The 22,540-nt window shown below is 40.1% G+C and overlaps 1 protein-coding gene across 18 annotated transcripts in view; it reads right to left on the bottom strand.

Annotated features, from left to right (window-relative positions):
* The window catches only part of LRCH3 (leucine rich repeats and calponin homology domain containing 3), a 97,211-nt gene that overhangs the window by 62,102 nt on the left and 12,569 nt on the right, over positions 1 to 22,540 (bottom strand). For all 18 annotated transcript variants that reach the window (XR_007095758.1, XR_007095759.1, XR_007095760.1 and 15 more), the window contains exons 2-4: positions 11,283 to 11,427; positions 9,033 to 9,159; positions 5,905 to 6,010 (exon numbers count right to left, since the gene is read on the bottom strand). Coding sequence is in view for 14 of the 18 variants with exons in the window: in NM_001363887.1 (NP_001350816.1) it covers positions 5,905 to 6,010; positions 9,033 to 9,159; positions 11,283 to 11,427 (378 nt within the window). In the remaining 4 variants the exon portion in view is untranslated. The remainder of the gene's footprint in view (positions 1 to 5,904; positions 6,011 to 9,032; positions 9,160 to 11,282; positions 11,428 to 22,540) is intronic.

The raw sequence follows: 22,540 nt of genomic DNA, 5'->3' as shown, positions 1-22,540 counted from the left end.
CCTTCTCACCCCACCCTATCCTACTTCATCCCAGGAATGGCTGTACTTAAGAATATACACAATAACGAAGAAGAAATGGAGCTTCTTTCTCTGGATAAACTTCACAGTCCCATATAAAAGGCCTTTATATAATGATACAGAATTTCTTCTAATAAAATACACAGCTTGTTGTTTAATTACCATTATACAATTTCTGCCCAGTATACTGAGAACTTCTAATCAGCCATATAAAGATAGTATATGATCCACAGACATTTAGACATCTCCAACATCAAAACCAACTAACTAACCAAAAAAAGGAACTCAGAAGAAACAGGTATTTTATAGAAAGCAGAAGAAAATTTTGAAAAGCTAGACTATCTTTAGTTTCAGAAAGAGAAGGTCTTTAATCACTGAAACATAAAAGGAATATTTTTTAAAAATCACAGAATGAGTTTGTAGAAATGAAAAAATATAATGGTAGCAATTAAAAATTCATAAGAATGGTTGGAACTATTTTACCATAAGGTAACACAAAATGACACAGAAATGAATAATAAAAAATATAAGAAAAATCAGCTGGGCGCGGTGGCTCAAGCCTGTAATCCCAGTACTTTGGGAGGCCGAGGCAGGCGGATCACGAGGTCAGGAGATCGAGACCATCCTGGCTAACACGGTGAGACCCCGTCTCTACTAAAAATACAAAAAATTAGCTGGGCGTGGTGGCGGGCGCCTGTAGTCCCAGCTACTCGGGAGGCTGAGACAGGAGAATGGCGTGAACCCGGGAGGCGGAGCTTGCAGTGAGCCGAGATTGAGCCACTGCACTCCAGCCTGGGAGACAGAGCAAGACTCTGTCTCAAAAAAAAAAAAAAAAAAAAAAAAAAAAAAAAATCAAAGAGGATCAACAAAGAGGTCTAATAACATCCAATTCAAAATAATTCAAAAAGGGGACAGAGAAACCAGAAGAAAGAAAATTATTTAAAAAAAAAAAAAAAGATATAAAACAATTTCCCAAAACGGAAGATATGGATCTCTGGTTTGGAAAGGGGCCCACCAAGTATCCAGCACATTAAATTAAAACAACTCATGCTATGGCACATTAACATAAAATTTCAGAGCAGCAGATAAACAGGGACCATCTTAAAATCTTCCAGAGAGCAAAAGCTGGTCACAAAATACTGGGATTAAGAATGAATGGCATCAGATTTTCAACCATCAATTTTAAACACTGAAAGTGGAAAGTGAAAAAACACTTAAAAGTCTTGAAAGAAAATAGTTTTCAACCTGGATTTATAATCAAACAATCAAGGGGGAACATAGAATAAAGACATTTATTTTCCAGTGAAGTCTCAAAAATATGTTCTCCCATGACGTGTTCTTGGGAAGCTACTAGGAGATGTCCTCCAGCAAAACAGGGAGTAACTGAGGAAGATCCAGAGTCTAGGACTCAGAGTATTTAACACAGAAGAAAGAAAGCTGGGCAGCAGGCCAGGTGCAGTGGCTCACGCCTGTAATCCCAGCACTTTGGGAGGCCAAGGCGGGTGAATCACGAGGTCAGAAGTTCAAGACCAGCCTGGCCAAGATGGTAAAACCCCATCTCTACTAAAAATACAAAAGTTAGCCAGGCGTGGTGGCGGGCTCCTATAATCCCAGCTACTTGGGAGGCTGAGGCAGAGAATCACTTGAACCCGGGACGGGGGGGCAGAGGTTACCGTGAGCCGAGATCGCGCCACTGTACTCCAGCCTGGGTGACAGAGTGAGACTGTCTCAAAAAAAAAAAAAGCTGGGCAGCAATACTAGAGAACAGCCAGTCCACATCAGAAGAGAAAAAAAGGGCTCAGTGAGGTGGAAGTGCAGGGAAAAAAGGGATAGAGAATCTGGTCTGACCAGAAAGCCTGCTGGAAAAAGAGGGTGGAATTAGCCATAGACACACATAAAAATAAGCATATAAAAAGATAAGAAACTATTACCTCCAGGGGAAAAAAAAAAAAAAAGCCGGGCGTGGTGGCTCACGCCTGTAATCCCAGCACTTTGGGAGGCCAAGGCGGGTGGATCACGAGGTCAGGGGTTCGAGACCAGCCTGACCAACATGGTGAAACCCCATCTCTACTAAAAATACAAAAATTAGCTGGGCATGGTGGCGGGCGCCTGTAATTCCAGCTACTCAGGAGGCTGAGGCAGGAGAATTGCTTGAACCCGAGAGGCGGAGGCTGCAGTGAGCCAAGATCATGCCACTGCACTCCAGCCTGGGCGACAGAGCAAGACTCTGTCTCAAAAAAAAAAAGAAAAAAACATGTACAAGAAAGGAAATAAAATCAGAGTACATCACTTGAATTGGCAGGGAACAATGTTTACATAATTACAGTAATGTGAACACTGAGTAACAATTTAATCAGAAGTTGTGCTAAAACTACACTGGGAAGATGGGAGGAAAGCAGTAAAGGCATGGTATGGTGACAGTGTAAGGAAACTAAATCCTCATCTATCATCACAATAGGAAGCTGACATAAGTGTCAAAGTTGCCCAAACCAGCAATAGCTATAAAAACATATCAGTTAGAAATATGTCAGCAGTCTGGGCACTGTGGCTCATGCCTGTAATCTCAGCACTTTGGGAGGCTGAGGTGGGTGGATTGCTTGAGTCCAGGAGACCAGCCAGGGGAACATGGTGAGACCCTTGTCTCTACAAAACAATACAAAATTTTCTGGGTGTGATGGTGCATGTCTGCAGTCCCAGCTACTTGGAAGGCTCAGATGGGAGGATGGCTTCAGCCCACAGAGTTCGAGGCTACGGTGAGCTCTGGTCACGCCATGCACTCCAGCCTGGGCAACAGAGTGAGACCCTATCTCAAAAAAAAAAAGAGTCAAAGGAGTTTAATGAAGGTACATACTTTTGGCCATTGAAATTGGTGTGCAGGGAAGTTTGAGGCAGGGGAACGACACTATTTAAGATTCTTGGCTGGGCACGGTGGCTCACGACTGTAATCCCAGCATTTTGGGAGGCTGAGGCAGGCGGATCACGAGGTCAGGAGATCAAGACCATCCTGGGCAACATGGTGAAACCCCGTCTCTACTAAAAATACAAAAAAGGCCGGGCACGGTGGCTCACGCCTGTAATCCTAGCACTTTGGGAGGCTGAGGCAGGCGGATCATGAGGTCAGGAGTTTGAGACCAGCCTGGCCAACATAATGAAACCCCGTCTCTACTAAAAATACAAAAAAAAAAAAAAAAATTAACTGGGCATGGTGGCGGGCACCTGTAATCCCAGCTACTTGGGAGGCAGAGGTTGCAGTGAGCCAAGATCACTCCACTGTACTCCAGCCAGGGCGACAGTGTGAGACTCCGTCTCAAAAAAAAAAAAAGAAGTAAAAATACAAAAATTAGCTGGGTGTGGTGGTGTGTGCCTGTAATGCCAGCTACTCGGGAGGCTGAGGCAGGAGAATGGCATGAACCCAGGAGGTGAAGCTTGCAGTAAGCTGAGATCGCACCACTGCACTCCAGCCTGCGTGACAGAGTGAGACTCCGTCTCAAGAAAAAAAAAAAAAAAAGATTCTTAATATTTTTTAATATTTTTTGAATGATGTAACATATTATTTGGTAAAAATTAATTTTAAATCAAAATGGCAATATAACAAAAGATATATGACATGTACCAAATTGCAATGTTAGAAATTACCAATTAAGTAACACAAACTTCCACACGAACGAATGTAGCTGTTGGAATAAAGCTTCACTTGCTAACTCAGTTCAACTATATGTGCTGAGATTATAAAATAAACTGTTAAAAAAATTGAAACTATTTGTGTGATAAACCATTTTGTCAGCAGTCTACAATCAAAATAAGATACAGAAATAAATTAGTTGATAAAACTATTAAGCTTCCATTGTCATCTGAAATGCTCAATTTTCATTTTGATTAAAACCCTAATATTCTCATTAATTGATTTCACACTAAATATTATTATAGGAGTAAGTCTTTGAAGACCAACCACAGTAGGCGAGTCCTGAGTACAGAGGTAACCCTAGGGAGAAATTTGGGGTTATAAGGTCCTAGAGGTCATGATTTTGGTTTTGCTAACCTTCATTTACATTCCTGAGTTGGTAGCAAACAGAACCAGGAGAAAATAAGGAAGGCCCTGAGGATAAAAAGTGTGAAGGTTCCTGGACAAGCCAAGTGAGAGGAAAGACACGCAAGGTTTTGGTTGCAGTAAGTATATAAAAGTGGACTGAAAAGGTCACGTTCTTACACATTTACTTGGAATCCAAAATGTCAAAGCTCCACTAGTATGTTAGAACTAAATATTATGCTGTATCAAATTGGTATAAATATTTGAATTCCACAGGGAAAGCGAAAACATCATTAGTTAATTCAACATGTATTGTGGCCAGGTGCAGTGGCTCACGCCTATAATCCCAGCACTCTGACAGGCTGAGGCAAGTGGATCTCTTGACCCCAGGAGTTTGAGACCAGCCTGGGCAACAGGGCAAAACCCCGTCTCTACTAAAAATACAAAAAGTAGGTGACATGGTGGCAAGTGCCTGTAGTCTAAGCTACCTGGGAGGCTGAGGTGAGAGGATCACCTAAACCTGAGAGGTCGAGGCTGCAGTGAGCCATGTTCGTGCCACTGCACTCTAGCCTGAGTAATGGGAGTGAGACCCTGTCTCAAAACAAACAAAATATTGATTGTACACTGTAAGTCATATTTTGTCAAAGAACCCAGAAAAGCACTGTCATGAAAATACCTTGAGAAGATTCCTTGTTTTTCTGGAATGTTTACCAATAAATTTCTGTATTTGATTCAAATTAATCTAGAGAATAGTGCAGGGGAAAGTAAATGAGAGCACAGTTGAGACAAGACTTGCCATGAGCTGATGACTCTTACTGCTGGGTGATGAGCAGAAACATATAGGAAGAAATATATATTCTGGATCTCATAAAATAATAGCTCTCATTTTCATCTTCCTTTCTAGCATTCTGTTTCATTAATTTGTGAAAGATTGATAAACTAGACTTCATTAATGTTTAATCATTTTTATCAAATACATATATCAGAGCTTGTAGTCAGCCTAAGTAAATAACCCGTCTCTTAGCGCAGTCTCTCACCCCATTTATCATTCACTCTACACATCACCTCCACATGGTTCATTAGCCTCTGTTTGAACATCTCCAGTGACCGGTTAAGTTCAGGTCAAAGTCCATTTTTAAGTGAGTGCTAACTGCAGAAATGTTTTTCATTATACTACACTATCCCCTTATCCAAACATGTTACATTTCCCCCAAACAGTCATGCTTACTGAAATTTCCAGGGACCCTACCCTGAGTTATTAATTACATCGGTTGACAAGATCTAAAAATAAAATCAAAGGTCAAGAGTTATCAAACCTTTTCATTGAAGAGGCTTTTAAAATCCACAATGGAACAGATAACACTATTAAATAAACCATTAGATTTCAAACACTGGAGGTAACACACACATACTCTCTCACACACACACAAACACACACAGACACACACACACTCTCTCTCTCTCTCCCCACCCCGTTTTTTTAAAAAAGGTCTCTTTCTGGTGCTCAGGCTAGAGTGCAGTGACCCCACCACAGCTCACTGCAGCCTTGGCCTCCTGGGCTCAGGGACTCCTCCCACCTCAGCTTCCTGAGTAGCTGGGACTACAAGAGTGCGCCAGCCCCCTGGGCTAATTTGTTAATTTTCTGTAGAGACAGACTCCCTATATTGCCCAGGCTGGTCTCGAATTCCTGGGTTCAAGCAATCCTCCCTCATCGGCCTCCCAAAGTGTTGGCATTACAGGCAGGAGCCACAGCGCCCAGCCTAGATGTAACCCTTATACATTTTTGTCTTGATTGGTCTGAGAGAGCTTTAAAATAATAAAACAATTATTTCATGGTTTCTTATTTCATAGTTTCTTACCTTCAGGCAAATGTACTAGGTGATTTCTTCTTACATTAAGGTCTCTCAAGGCCTCCAGGTTACCAATTTGGGAAGGTATAGTTTGAATTTCATTGCAGCTCACATCCTATTTCGAAAAGATACAAAATAAAGATTGTCCTAACATTACAAACTTGTCTGCTTTAAACTGTCTATAAAATTAGATATGTTTGGGAGACCTTCTGGTATCTCACTTAATAGCTTAATTCAATGGTTCTGAAAAGAGACTACCTACAGGTTCGAAGATTAATAAATTCAGAATACCATAATTCTGAGATCAGCCAAAATAATTTGTAAACCCATCATTATATGAACAGAGGGAAGCTGCCACATTAACACTTAAAATTCTTCCAATATGACTAAAAGAAAACAATACATTTACTATTTAGAAAAGGCCGCTTGCTGCGGAGTATGGTGGCTCATGCCTGTAATCCCAGCACTCTGGGAAGCCGAGGTGGGTGGATCACGTGAGCCCAGGAGTTTCAGACCAGCGTGGGCAACATGGTAAGGCCTTGTCTCTATTTTCTTTTTTTTAAAAAGAAAAAAGAATAAAAAGAGACCTCTTGCCAAATTTTTCAATAAGCCTCAAACGTTAATTTCCTTAAAGTATCCTTAGAGAAAATACTATTTTTACTTTTCCTACCAATTAATAATTGAAGTAGAATCAGAAGCTAGACTTTTTTTTTTCTTTTTTTTGAGATGGAGTCTCACTGTTGTCACCCGAGCTGGAGTGCAATAGCACGATCTCAGCTCACTGTAACCTCCGTCTCTCGGGTTCCAGCAATTCTCCTGCCTCAGCCTCCCAAGTAGCTGGGATTACAGGCACCCACCACCACACCCAGCTAATTTTTGTATTTTTAGTAGAGATGGGGTTTCATCATGTTGACCAGGCTGGTCTCGAACTCCTGACCTCAGGTGATCCACCTGCCTCAGCCTCCCAAAGTGCTGCGATTACAGGCATGAGCCACCGTGCCCGGCCAGAAGCTAGACTTCTGAGTCCAATGCTCTAGGCATTAAAATGGTTCTAAAAGAAGTTGAAAGGATATAGGTTCAAATCCTAGCTAGAAAAAAAAAAAAAGTTGAAAGCATAGAAAAATCGAGTCTGAGCCAAAAGGTAATAGCAATGTATAATCTCTCAGAAAATACGTATGTTGAAAACAGCAGTTTGCTTTCACTTAATGAAGAGGAAAAAAAGAGCGAACCAACAAGGATGTTGCTGAACAACCATCAGATGGGAATGGAGAGCTTTAGGGACACTCATTCTTTTTTCTTTTTTTTTTTTTTTCCCAGACGGAATCTCACTCTGTTGCCCAGGCTGGAGTGCAGTGGTGTGATCTCGGCTCACTGCAACCTCTGCCTCCCAGGTTCAAGCGATTCTCCTGCCTCAGCCTCCCAAGTTGCTGGGATAACAGGTGCGTGCCACCACGCCTGGCTAATTTTTGTATTTTTAGCAGAGATGGGGTTTCACTATGTTGGTCAGGCTGGTCTCGAACTCCTGACCTCAGGTGATCTGCCCCTCTCGGCCTCCCAAAGTGCTAGGATTACAAGTGTGAGCCACTGCGCCTGGCTGGGACACTAATTCTTATTCTGCCACAAGTTCCTTATATGACTGAGGATATCAATTAACCTCTTTTGTAGAAAACAAAAAGCAGCTTCTATAACACATCTCTACCTTTTAAGTATTTAGGATTGAATAAGTAGAAACAAAATGTTTAAATGATTTGAAAATAAGAATTTGAATTATAGTTTACTTCTAGTTCATGTTTTTAACCCAAGTTCTGAAGAGATGCTGATAAACATACATTCTGATCTTTATGTCCTAGTTCTAACTGGCTCCAAAAATAGTGGTCTAGAATGTAGACTCTAGTTTAAATATATTTGTGGATTCTCCCACGTAACCTCTTATATTCATAATCTACCTGGAAAAAGTGATCCAACTATATTACATATGTATTAATTTATGATAACCATCTTCCATCTTTGTTAATAAACCTACACGAAACCATACCCCTAAATCCTAATGGACATAATTGTATTTGACCACTTCAGAAAGAGTTAAGGTAGTCTGGTTTCAAATACTATTTCTGTTATATAACCTTAGGCAAGTTATTTAACCTATTTGAGTGCTAGCTTCCTCAGCTATAAAATGAAAATAATTTTAGTAATCAATTCATAATATTATTATGGTGATTAAATGAGAAAATTGTTATTCCCATGCTCAGAAGGTAAATACTCAAGAAGTGATTTGGTGAAGGAGTTCAATTAAGTGTCTTAGAAAATACAGGGCAACAGGGCCGTGCGCGGTGGCTCACGCCTGTAATCCCAGCACTTTGGGAGGCCGAGGTGGGCAGATCACAAGGTCAGGAGATCAAGACTATCCTGGCTAACACGGTGAAACCCTGTCTCTACTAAAAATACAAAAAAATTAACCAGGCATGGTGGCGGGCGCCTGTGGTCCCAGCTACTCAGGAGGCTGAGGCAGGAGAATGGCGTGAACCTGGGAGGCAAAGCTTGCAGTAAGCCGAGATTGCGCCACTGCACTCCAGCCTAGGTGACAGAGCAACACTCTGTCTCAAAACAAACAAACAAACAAACAAACATGGCAATGAAGTATATTTTACTTTATAGAGTGGGAGATAGCGTCTAAAGATATAATGTAAGGCAAAAAATAAACCTGACCTTTGTAGTGCCATTCCCCTACAGGAGCTAATCAAAAATCAGAATATTGATGATACAAACAAATTTATTTTGAAAAATTCAATTATATTAACATATCTCAAAAATTTAATGACACAGAAATCATTTAATATTGGTTAGAACCTAATTCTAATGACCTTTTCCCATCTGTGTGGGCCAATTAGGCTTGTACTTTCCGTTCTTAATTCTGTGTGCCAACCACTTGAGTACGGAAAATTCAGTATATGATTCATTACCAATACTGGAAAATAAGTCAAAAACATATATCAATAATAAATCTTTGCCATATAAAAGACTATGGTATGACTTTGTATACATCTCTCTCTCCAAGGTTTCATATATATATATATATATACACACACACACACAGACACACACACACACATGTTGGACAATCAAAAATATTAACTTACAAGTTCCATCAAATGTCTAAGGTGTCCAATTTCTTCTGGAAGTGACACCAATTTGTTATTACTAGCAATTAAGACTTTCAATGGCAAATTACACAAGTGTACCGGCAATGTTGACAGTTGGTTCCGACTAAATGGGTAAGTAGAAAGAGAGAAGAATCAGAGTCCACCACTGAAGAAAAATTTTCTCTCTTTCTCACGCTATACTCAGTAAAATAACAAATATGAGTCTTGCAAGAAACAAACAGGGTACTGGAGTTCTAGCCTTCGTTTTACTGGTGGTCAGCTTTATGGTTACAGGCACAGTGTTGAACTTAATCTGCATCTTACAGAGATTTCTCATCTGTAAACTGAAGATCTTAGTATCTCCCTACCTATCTTATAGGGCTCTTGCAGAATATAACTCCTTTGTAAATAATGAGGTACTACATAAACATAGTATTATTTTATTAAAGTAACATTTAGGTAGGAAAAGATTTTTTAAAAGGTGGATAATATCATCCTCCTTACTTCTGAAGATTATAAACAAAACTTATAATCTACTTCCCTCATCATTACAATATTATAATCAAATGCACATAAATGGTGAAAATGTAGCTCTGTGGAAAAAAAAGCAGTAAGTTGTGATTTCATAGATCACACCAACTAAGTTACAGGTAAAGAATTTTTATTTATACAAAAACATGCAAATCAGAACTAAAAGTAAAATAATAAAACACATCTATCGGCTGGGCGCAGTGGCTCACGTCTGTAATCCCAGCACTCTGGGAGGCCAAGGCAGGTGGATCACCGGAGGTCAGGGGTTCGAGACCAGCCTGGCCAACATGGCGAAACCCCGTCTCTACTAAAAATACAAAATTAGCCGGGCGTGGAGGCATGTGCCTGTAATCCCAGCTACTCGGGAGGCTGAGGCAGGAGAATGGCTTGAACCCGGGAGATGGAGGTTGTGGCGAGCCAAGATCACACCATTGCACTCCAGCCTGGGCAACGAGAGTAAAACCCTGTCTCAAAAGAAAAAGAAAAAAAAACAACCCACATCTATCAAGATAAAAATAAATAAGATCTTTACGTATGTAAATTTAACCTCTTATTCCTTAGGACCAATTCCCTCCCCATTTGTAAGATCTTTTACTGAGATGATAAGCCACACTTTTTAATCCAGTAACAATTCCACTCCCAGACATCTATCTTAAGGAAAGAGAAAAGTAAACATTTACATACAAAATTCTCTACTAATATTATTTTTATCATGGTGAAAAACTGGAAGAAACTAAGATCCCAGAGGAAAATTTATTTTCAACAGTATATAAACTGTACAACAAAATAATTACATACAAAAATAGTTTTAAAGAATGTTTCATGATAAGAGGAAAACTCATTTAAAAATTTGACTAAAAGCCTGGAAAAACAGAAGGAAAAGATCACTTATAAAATTAAGATACATTTTGATGAATTTCCTTTATATTTTTCCACATTTGCACATTATATTCAATGAACATTTGCAACTTTTATAGTGAAATAAAACAACAAGAGTTATTTTAAGATGTGAAAGTGGAGTAGACTAGTTGAATAAATGCATTCATACATTCGGAACTTAATATGCAAAAATACATGGTCACAAGAAACAAAGTAATTTCAGATCTATTATTCTTATTTAATGAAGCTAATTAGAAAATGTAATTGGAGAAGCACTGCTACAAGACTGCTGCAAGCTCCTCAGGCAAATGGCTCAGTAAGGTTTGTTAATTACAGGCATCCCCAACTAACAACAGCTGACTTAAAATTTTTTGGCTTTATGATGGTGGGAATGCAATACACATTCAGTAGAAACCACACTTTACTACACTATCTAGTAAATTGTATCAGCTATTCAATACTTTATTATAAAATAGGCCTTGTGTTAGAAGATTTTGCCCAACTGTAGCCTAAGATAAGTGTTTTGAGCACATTTAAAGTAGGCTAGGCTAGGCTATAATGTTTGGTGGATTATGTGGGAAATGCATTTTCAACTTAGATGGGTTTACTGGGATGTAATCCCACTGTAGTAAGTCAGGGAGCATCTGTACTGCAAAGCCAAAGATAAAGAGAGAAACTGGAGGGACATAGGAAATACTGTTAATATATCCAAGAGCACATACAGAAACTGCTGATATGAATAGATAGCATATATATAGGTAAATATTTTAGGGAAAGGGGAAAATCGAAAAGATCACATAAAACCAAAAATTTAAAATAAGAAAACAATATTCTTACCTAATATTTAAGAATGTTAGAGCTTGTAGGTTTAAAATTGCCTCTGGAATATAACGAATACAATTTTGGTACAAGTTGAGATTTTCCAGAGAAACAAAGTGACATGCTTCTATAGGAATTTCTGAAAGGCGATTTCGCGACAGGTCTAAAAGAAAAATTAAATTAGGTTTAAAATCAGTCCTTGGAACTTATTTTATTGAAATCTTTTGATTTTCCACATAAACTAAAAAATAAAACTATTATTCTTTAAAAGTAAAACAGCTTCTAAGGCATATCTGCTTACAAATTATATCAAAGATCGTATCAATCAGTTCCAAATATCCTAAAACAAATAGATCCCTAAAATCCACCTTCCTAAAGGCACAGAAAATATGCTGAGGTTTTTGAAAAGCAAAACAAAAAACACTGTCCCTTTATTCACCAAAGATGATCAAGGTCAGGTCACAAAGACTCAGGAACCATCTTTGTTCCCAATGGCCAAAGATGAGGCAATCTAAGCTTTGATAAAGATGACTGCAGTAGACTGAAATTCATCACATATATTGAACTACATGAGTTTATGACACACACCCAAAAAAGATGACAGAGAACTAATACACTATCTTGTAAACTGGTGATACGGTTTGCCTGTGTCCCCATTCAAGTCTCAACGTGAATTGTATTCCCCAGAATTCCCCCACGCTGTGGGAGGGACCCAGTGGAGAGGTAATTCAATCATGGAGGCCGGTTTTTCCGTGTTATTCTCGTGATAGTGACTAAGTCTCACGAGATCTTACGGGTTTATCAGGGGTTTCCACTTTTGTTCCTGCCTCATTTTCTCCTGCCGCTGCCGTGTAAGTAAGTGCCTTTTGCCTCCCGCCATGATTCTGAGGCTTCCCAGCCATGTGGAACTTTTAAGTTCCATTAAACCTCCTTTTGTTCCCAGTTTCACGTCTGTCTTTATCAGCAGCATGAAAACGAACTAATGCAACTGAAGGAAAAATCAAACATTTGAGGAAATAAAGAGAAAAAAATCAAACATTTATCCTGCCTTCCCTATATAAAGGTATCACTGAGTAAACAATAGATGGATGGGAGCATCTCTGTATAAAAGTATTCTAGTTATGAATAAAAAAGAACGATAGAATATCACAATTTTAAAACCCCTATGAATTAATGGATCTAGAATTGAACATCAATGACTGTTATCTTTACAAAAGATAATCAGAAATTACATGCCTCAGGCCAGGCGCGGTGGCTCACGCCTGTAATCCCAGCACTTTGGGAGGCTGAGGCGGGTGGATCACTTGAGGTCAGGAGTTTGAGACCAGCCTGCCCAACATGGTGAAACCCCATCTCTACTAAAAATACAAAAGTTAGCCGGGCATGGTGGCACACACCTGTAATCCCAGCTACTCGGGAGGCTGAGGCAGGAGAATCGCTTGAACCTGGGAGGCAGAGGTTGCAGTGAGCAGAGATGGAGCCACTGTACTCCAGCCTGGGCAAGAGAGCGAGATTCCATCTCAAAAAAAAAAAAAAAAAAAAAAAAAAAAAAAAAAAAAATTATATGCCTCCCATTAGAAGAACGGAACATTACCTATGGTCTTGCCAAAGGAACAGAACCTGAGTCTGATTAAGCATCTGGATCACTTGCAAACTTTCAGAAAATGCAGAGGACAAAGGAATATGATGACAAACCACCCCTCTATCATTACCCATTTTGATTTAATTAATTACTGTGAGATTCATTTGCTTACCACTGTTTTCTCTTTTTGGGAATGACTACAGTCAACGATCATTTATTGTACATTTTGAAATAATTAAAAGAGTATAAATGGATTGTTTGTAACACAAAGCATCAATGCTTGGGGTAATGGATACTTCATTTACCCTGATGTGATTATTACACATTGTATGGCTCTATCAGAGTACCTCACAGACCCCATAAATATATGCAGCCACTACGTACTCAAAGAAATTTAAAAAACTATAAGATACCACTTCATACCCATTCAGATAACTATTATTAAAAAAGGAAAAAACAACAGGTGTTGTTAAGAATGTGGAGAAATTGGAACCTTTGCGCTTTGCTGGGTGGAAACAGCCACTGTGGAAAAGAATATGGCAGTTCCTCAAAAAATCAAACACGGAAGTATATTTATGATCCATACAATCCAACAATTCCACTTCTGGGAATAGAATGAAAAGAACTGGTTGGGTGTGGTGGCCTGCGCCTGTAATCCCAGCACTTTGACAGGCCGAGGTGGGTGGATCACTTGAGGTCAGGAGTTCGAGACCAGCCTGGCCAACATGGCGAAACCCCGTCTCCACAAAAAATACAAAAATTAGCCAGGCGTGGTGGCATGTGCCTGTAATCTCAGCTACTTGGGAGGCTGAGACAGGAGAATCACTTGAACCCAGGAGGCTGTTTGAATGTTTCTCAAAAAACTAAAAACAGAGCCACCATATGATCCAGCTTGGTTGCAGTGAGCCGAGATGGCGCCACTACACTCCAGCTTGGGCGACAGAGTGAGACTCCACCTAAAAAAAAAAAAAAAAAAAAAAAAAACTGAAAGCAGAGACTTGAACAGATATTTGTAGGCCAATATTTACATCAGCATTATTCACAACAGTCAAAAGATGGAAACAAACCAAATGTCTACCAATGGGTGAACAGATATTTCCATAAATGTGTTATATGCATACAATGGAATATTATTCTACATTCAAAAAGGAATAAAATTCTTTGACATGGTACAACATGAAGTTTGCAAACATTATGGAGTGAAATATGCCAGACATCAAAGGATAAATATGATTTCATTTATATGAAGTCCCTAGAACAGCCAAATTCATAAAAGACATAAAGCAGAATGATTACCAGGAAGTAATGAGGAGTTAGTGTTTAACGCATACAGTGTTGCAGTCTGGGATAATGAAAAAAGTTCTGGAAGTGGATTTAGTTGGTGATAGCTGCACAACAGTATGAAGGTACTTAATACCACTGAACAGATGCTTAAAAATGGATAAAATGGCATATTTTACCACAACAATTTAAAAAATCAAACATGTAGTACTCAAAGTAGAAAAGAAATGTAATCTGCCTCTTCTTAGTGACATGTACCTTAAAAATCTCTAAAATTATGGACTTTTCTAATAACCATATCTTATGTCTCAGCAATAAAATGAATAATACACAAATTACAGAAACAAAATTTCAAAGTATTCCTGAACTTCAAATCTCAAAAATTAGTCTCACAACTGTGTAACAGAGACTGGCAGTTAGTAACTTCTTTCCTTCTTAACCCCATTTCTCTCTGCCAGGGAGAAAAATGCTTCATATTTCATTCTATTTGGCTATGTAATTATGACATTAGGACTTATTTCTTTAAATCTCAGTAACTAAGCCAGGAAAACCAAGGTTCATTCCAGTCCAAACACAAATTAATGTTTTCAACAGTATGGCATTTATTAAGAAATGCTAGCAGTCAAAAGTCTTGTGTTCTTCTAATAACTCCTCCAGGCGGTCCCACGCAGTGACATCATCCTTACCCAATCAGCCCATTATGCAAAACCCACATGTACAGTACCATCATTTTCTGTGAGAACAGACACTACTATGAATGCGAAAATGGCCAGGGATGATGACAAATAATCTGTATAAGAGATTTTCAACACTGAGCAATGTAAAACTGTAAAGAATATTATAGGAATAATATTCTTTAACATATAAAGAAATGGTAAATGCAAACTATGAAAATTTCTGAAATACACAATCAGTATGAAATAAACTAAAAAGTAATTTTCAAAAAGTCCCTAAAGAATTATATAAAAGTAATAATTTAAAATATTATTTGATAGCTATGTAACATATCACAATGATACTGTTCATGGTGCGTCCCACAGACCAAAGTTTAAACACCAAGAACATAGACGGCAGCGCAGTCACTGAAGACCCCGTGATGAGTCATGAGAGTGGGTTACGCTTTTCAGACTTTCTGTTTACATCTGTCACATTTAAAAACACTCCTTGCTTAGGTATTTCCTTTTCGTTTTCAACCACCTTACCATTCCCATGAAAATTTTACTGAGATAATGCAATAAAAATCATTTTAGCTATTAATATTAATTATGTAACCCAGGGAGATCACAAAACATAGTTTTTCTAATGCTTTTCATTCAAAAGTCTTATTTTTTTTAACCTGACTTTAGGTTATCTTTTAAAAACTGTTAACTTTTATTTTTATCAAAATAGTATATTTATATAACTTTAAATGCCATTTTAGTGACTTCCGCTTCTGGGAAGATGAAACAAATGTACTTTTTCCTTTTTCTGTTTTTTTTCTCCACAATAATTTAAAAAATTAAATGTGTATACTCAAAGTAGAAATGTAATCTGCCTCTTGTTAGTGACATGTACCTTAAAAATCTCTAAAATTATGTAAAATTTTAATTTATAACTAAAAACCCGAGATAATATACATAAAACAGATAAAAGGTTGAGAGAAGATGGCTAGGAACCTCAGGACTCAAGGAACAATAGCAATGAATTCCCTGGGTTTTCTTTTTGCCTCATGCATCCCAGACTTGGAGCTGACCTCTCCAAGTTTAAAAATAAAATAGCCAGGCACGGTAGCTCATGCCTGTAATCCCAGCACTTCCAGAGGCAGAGGCTGGTGAATCACCTAAGGTCAGCAGTTCGAGACCAGCCTGGCCAACATGGTGAAACCCCATTTCTAAAATACAAAAATAAGCTGGGCATGGTCGTGAGCACCTGTAATCTCAGCTACTCAGGAGGCTGAGGCAGGAGAATCCTTTGAACCCAGGAGGCGGAGGCTGCAGTGAGCCAAGATCGTGCCACTGAACTCCAACCTGGGAGTGAAACTCCATCTCAAAAAATAAAAATAACAAAATAATAATAAAGCACCAGGAAAGGGTAGCTTAGCAAGACAGAAAACTTTTAGATAATAACTGCTCTATTCCACCCAAATATCTCAGAAAAAAACTGGAAAAAAACAGGCTTCCCATGCAACCTTTGAGTAGCCTCACCCCTACTCAAAGGTTACGTGGGGATCCTAAATTTCCATCCTTGCCAGACTGTAATGACTCTTATAATCCCCAAAATGCACAACTGAAAACATTTACAATACTAAGGACCAGGAAGATCTCAAACCAAATAAAAAACAATAAATGCCAACACTAAGATGACAGAGATGCTAGACCATCCTAAGAATGCTTCAGAGAGCAATTACAGACTCTCTTGTAACAAATGAAAACCAGAAAGCCTCAACAACAACAACAACAAAAAACAGAAGGTCTCAAGAAAGAAGATATGAAGGGGAAACAAACAAACACACAGAAAAAGCTCAATGGATGGGTTCAACAGCAGAGCGGAGGGCAGAGAGGAAAGAATCAGTGAGCTGCAAGACAGAACAGAAATTACCCAGCCTGAACAACAGAGAGAAAACAGATTGGGGGAAAAAAAAAAAAAGACTGAACAGAGCAAGGACTTATGGGACTGTAACAATAATCTAACACTCATGTCATCAGAATCCTGGCAAAAGAGAAGGAGCTCAGGGCTGAATACTTCAGCATTTCTAAGGGCTGAAAAATGAACTGAAGTGAAAGCTTCCTAAGTTTGGCAAGAGTCATGAACCTGTAGATTCAAGAAGCTGAGCAAACCCCAAAGAGGATAAACCCAAAGACATCCACAAGACACACTATAGCCAAACTTCTGAAAACGGAAGACAGAGAAAAAAAGTCCTTTTTTTTTTTTTAGACAGGGTCTCACTCTGTTACCCCAGCTGGAGTGCAGTGGCACAATCATGGCTCACTGCAACCTCTACCTCTTGGGCTCGAGAGATCCTCCCACCCCAGTCTCCTGAGGAGCTGGGACTACAGGCACACACCACCACTCCTGACTAATTTTTGTATTTTTGGTAGAGAAGACGTCTCACTATGTTGTCCAGGCTGGTCCTGAACTCCTGACCTCAAGTGATCCTCCTGCCATGGCCTCCCAAACTGCTGGGATAACAGGCATGAGCCACCATGCCTGGCCAAGAAAAAAAAAATATTGAAAGCAGTAAGAGAGAGACAATTGAAATGACAGTAGATTTCATATCAGAAACCATGGAAGCCAGAAAGAAGTGGCAGAACATCATCCTTTTTTTTTCTGAGACAGTCTCACTGTCACCCAGGTTGGAGTGCAGTGGCACAATCACAGCTCACTGCAGCTCTGATCTCCTGGGCTCAAGTGATCCTCCCACCTCAGCCTTCCAGGTAGCTGAGACTACAGGCATGTGCCACCATGCCCAGCTAATTTTTGGAGAGATGGGGTTTCGCCACATTGCCCAGGCTGGTCTTGAAACTCCTGGGCTCAAGTGATCTGCTCATCTCGGCCTCCCAAAGTGTTTCAATTACAGGCATGAGCCACTGCGCCTGGCCCAACATCTTCCAATCACTAAAAGAAAGACTGTTCACCCAGAATTGTATATATATCCAGCAAAATGTCCTTCAGGAATCAAGAGGAGATCAACACATTCTCAGATGAATGAAAACTGAGAGAGTCTGTAGCAGCAGATGTAATCTAAAAGAATGAGTAATGGAAGTTCTCTAAATAGAAAGTAAGTGGTGAAAGAAAGGAATCTTAAAACACCAAGAAAGGACACAGCGTATGAGTTTGCTAGAGCTGCCACAATAAAATACCACACAGTGGGCAGCTGAAACGATACAAATGTATTTTCTCAAATTCTGGAGGCTAGAAGTCTGAGATGAAGGTGTTAGCAGGGTTGCTTTCTTCTGAGGTCTCTCTCACTGGCTTGCAGATGCTGTCTTCTCTCTGAGTCTTCATATCATCTTTCCTCTTTGTCTTTGTCCTAATCTCCTCTCACAGGGACATCACTTGTATTGACTTACAGCCCAGCCAAATGATGCCATCTGAACTTAATTACCTCTTTAAAAGTACTACCTCCAAACACAATCGCAGATACTGAGAGTTAGGACTTCAATGTATGAATTTGTGGGTGACGGACAAAATTCAGTACATAACACTAAGCAAAAATATGGGTAAATATAAAAGACTTTCCTTCTCTTGAGTTTTCCAAATTATATTGGAAGCAAAAATTATAAGACTGTTTGATGTGATTCTAAATATTTATAGAGAAAATATTTAAGACAACTATAACAGGGAAAGAAAAGGGACATGAAGGGGGTAAGGTTTCTATACGTCACTCAAACTCATAAAATAAGGATACCAATAGACTGACAAGTTGGACTTCTCTCATGTAATACCTAGGGCAGCAACAAAGAGAGCTACACAAAGAGATACACTCAAAAACACTACAGAGAAATAAAAATGGAATTCTAAAAAATGTTCACGAACCCCACAGGAAGGCAAGAAAAAGAACACAGAAAGGAAAACAAAGGAAACAACAAATAAAATGGCAGACTTAGGCCCTAACACATCAACAATGATATGAAATACAAATTATCTAAAAGACAGATCAAATGACCAAAATACAGAGATTAGCAAAGTGGATTTAAAAACATGATGCGGCCGGGCATGGTGGCTCACACCTGTAATCTCAGCACTTTGGGAGGCCAAGGCGGGCGGATCACAGGGTCAGGAGATCGAGACTATCCTGGCTAACCCGGTGAAACCCCGTCTCTACTAAAAAGAAATACAAAAAAATGAGCTGGGCGTGGTGGCGGGCGCCTGTACTCCCAGCTACTTGGGAGGCTGAGGCAGGAGAATGGTGTGAACCCGAGAGGCGGAGCTGGCAGTGACCCGAGATCGCGCCACTGCACTCCAGCCTGGGCGACAGAACGAGACTCCGTCTCAAAAAAAAAAAAAAAATGCAACTCTATGTTATTTACAAGAAACTCACTTCAAGTAGAAGGATATAGGCTGAAAGTAAAAATTAGCACCCAAACAGGAGAGGTCTAATTCCTCATTAACTCCCAATACCTGCTCCCCTAAAGCAATCACTTTTAACTCTTGTATGTGTGTATGCATGTTTGTTTGTTTTTTTTTTTTGACACAGGGTCTCGCCCTGTCGCCCAGGCTAGGGTGCAGTGGTGCAATCACAGCTCACTGAAACCTGGAACTCCTGGGCTCAAGTGATTCTCTGACCTGAGCCTCCTGAGTAGCTGGGACCACAGGAATGCGGAACCATGTCAGGCTAATTTTTCTTTTAAATCTTTTGTAAAAATGGGGTCTCAGGAGCCGGATGCAGTGGCTCACACCTGTAATCCCAGCACTTTGGGAGGCTGAGGCGGGTGGATCACTTGAGGTCAGGAGTTCAAGGGCAGCCTGGACAACATGGTGAAACTCCACACCAAACTAATTTTGTATTTTTAGTAGAGACAGGGTTTCACCATGTTAGCCAGGGTGGTCTTGAACTCCTGACCTCAGGTGATCCACCTGCCTCAGTCTCCCAAAGTGCTGGGATTACAGGAGTGAGCCACCATGTCCGGCATTCCTATGCCCTTTTCTTAGAGACCCTTATTATATTTCATGTCTGCAGTACCTTCTTTTCTGACTTTTAGGATATTGATTCCAGATTTTTGGAAGTTTTTCTTTTGTCAGCACTGTCTGTTTTCTCTGGGTTCCTTTTGTTATGTTCTTCTCTTTGATGTCAGAAATGTTCTTCAAGGCCAGGCACTCATGCCTGTAATCCTAGCACTTTGAGAGGCTGAGGTGAGAGGATCATTTGAGCTCAGGAGTTTGAGACCAGCCTGGGCAACACAGTAAGATCCCTGTCTCTACTAAAATTAGAAAAAAGAAAAAAGAGAAATGTTCTTCAACTATCTAGTAGTATTTAGTTTTCTTTTCATATTTAAAAACATAGGCCAGGCGCAGTGACTCACACCTGTAATCCCAGCACTTTGGGAGGCCGAGGCAGGTGGATCACCAGAGGTCGGGAGTTCATGACCAGCCTGACCAATATGGAGAAACCCCGTCTCTACTAAAAATACAAAATTAGCCGGGTGTGGTGGCACATGCCTGTAATCCCAGCTACTCGGGAGGCTGAGACAGGAGAATCACTTGAACCCGGGAGGCAGACGTCGCAGTGAGCCAAGATCGCACCATTACACTCCAGCCTGGGCAACAAGAGTGAAATTCCGTCTCAAAAAAACAGAAACAAAAACAAAAAAAACCCATAACATTGAAATTCTGGGTGGAAACTCTGTATGTACACTTCCCTGTAAGGTACAGTGTAGGGACCTGGCTGTTTCATTTGGGTTCTGTAAGTACCGATACCTTAAAATCTTTTCTCTTTTCCCCTAGATTTTCTCCAAAAACTCCAATAATCAGAGGAGTATATCAGCCAAGCAGGGAGATGCCTAGAGATCTTACCATTCTGCATGTCGGCTGTCATTAGGTTTTCAATTTGGAGGCATGTCCCCCTCTAAAAACTCCAATAATCAGAGGAGTATATCAGCCAAGCAGGGAGATGCCTAGAGATCTTACCATTCTGCATGTCGGCTGTCATTAGGTTTTCAGTTTGGAGGCGTGTCCCCCTCTAAAAACTCCAATAATCAGAGGAGTATATCAGCCAAGCAGGGAGATGCCTAGAGATCTTACCATTCTGCATGTCGGCTGTCATTAGGTTTTCAGTTTGGAGGCGTGTCCCCCTCTTTAGCAAGCCTACACCCAAATCCAGACCCAGTTTTAGTCCCAGCCCTCTGAAGAAAAAGCCTCCTTGATTTTTCTGTTGCACGTTCTTCTCCTTCAAAAATATGATAGAGGTAAGACCCTTAAGAAAAAAGTGTCTTACTGGAAAAGTTATCAAGGATAGTCCAACATGTCATGTTTTATCAGTTTGCCCCTCAGGAAAAGCAATCACATATTCTGAATGACTTGAAAAAATGGCTTTCTTGGCCAGGCGCGGTGGCTCACGCCTGTAATCCCAGCACTTTGGGAGGCCAAGGCGGGTAGATCACTGAGGTCGGGAGTTCGAGACCAGCCTGACCAACACGGTGAAACCCCAGCTCTACCAAAAATACAAAATTAGCCAGGTGTGGTGGCACGCACCTGTAATCTCAGCTACTCAGGAGGCTGAGGCAGGAGAATTGCTTGAATCCAGGAGGTGGAGGTTGCAGTGAGCCAAGATCACACCACTGCACTCCAGCCTAGGCGACAGAGTGAGACTCTGTCTCAAAAAAATAAAAAAGAAAAAAAAAAAGGAGTGGATAATCGAGGTACAGATAGATTCTATTGGAAATGTCTTTAAGTTCTATTTGTCATTCTTACATTAGAAAATAAGGAAGTGTTTACTAACTGCAAGTATTATGATAAAACAGCAAAATTAACAAACCTGTGATGGTCACTGTTGATTGGACCACGATAATGTCTGTAGTTCTCCTCGTGTTACTAAACATTGTCTTCACAAGCAAGATAAGCAGCTGAGCAAGTAACAGTCTTTTAAAAGTAGGTACTAGAAACAAATACACCAATGAGTAGTAGAGCCCTGTTTCTGGTATAACAATTTTGGGTGGAAAGCCCCAGTCCTCAGGATAGGAGTGAGGACAAGATAATTGAGCTCTGGATACACGATGGGATTTCTGCACTCTGGATCCTTACCATACCTACTGGGATGACATACGAAGGTTTTTTTATTTTCCAGTATAACTTAAGGAGGGGTGCAGCTGAGGCAAGGCACAGTCTAAAAGGACTTGCTAACATCAAACTCTAACCATGTACATATCCATGATATGTTCAGCACATCATATCCTAGGAACAAGGCAACTGGTGTCATAACTTTCTTCTTTGCTTATTGCCACCCACAAAGTGGGTCTTTTTTTTTTTCTTTTTTTGAGACAGGGTCTTACGCTGTCGCCCACTGCAGTGGCACAATCTTGGCTCATTGCAACCTCCACCTCTGGGGTTTGAGCAATTCTCCCACCTCAGCCTCCCTAGTACCTAGAACTAACTAGAGGTGCACGCCACCACGCCTGGCTAATTTTTGTATTTTTTGGTAGAGATGGGGTTTCACCATGTTGGTCAGGCTGGTCTCGAACTCCTGACCTCAAGTGATCCACCTGCCTCAGCCTCCCAAAGTGCTGGGATTACAGGCGTGAGCCACCACACCCGGTCCCTTTTCATTTTTTAATAGACTGATGTTGAAAGTATTCAATTTGGTCGCCCCATATCATATGGGTTAAATTAACTAAGGCCAATTATTTACTTACTGAGACCCTTTGGAAAAAGAATTACCTGGTTAACGTTACAGCAGTGCTTCTTAAACTGAAATGCAAATGCAGATTCTTATTCCGAG

This window comes from Homo sapiens, chromosome 3 (genome assembly GCF_000001405.40).
Source record: "Homo sapiens chromosome 3, GRCh38.p14 Primary Assembly".
In the NCBI taxonomy this organism is placed as follows: Eukaryota; Metazoa; Chordata; class Mammalia; order Primates; family Hominidae; genus Homo; species Homo sapiens.
The sequence above is the reverse complement of the archived record's forward strand: the minus strand, read 5'-3'. Positions and strand labels throughout refer to the sequence as shown.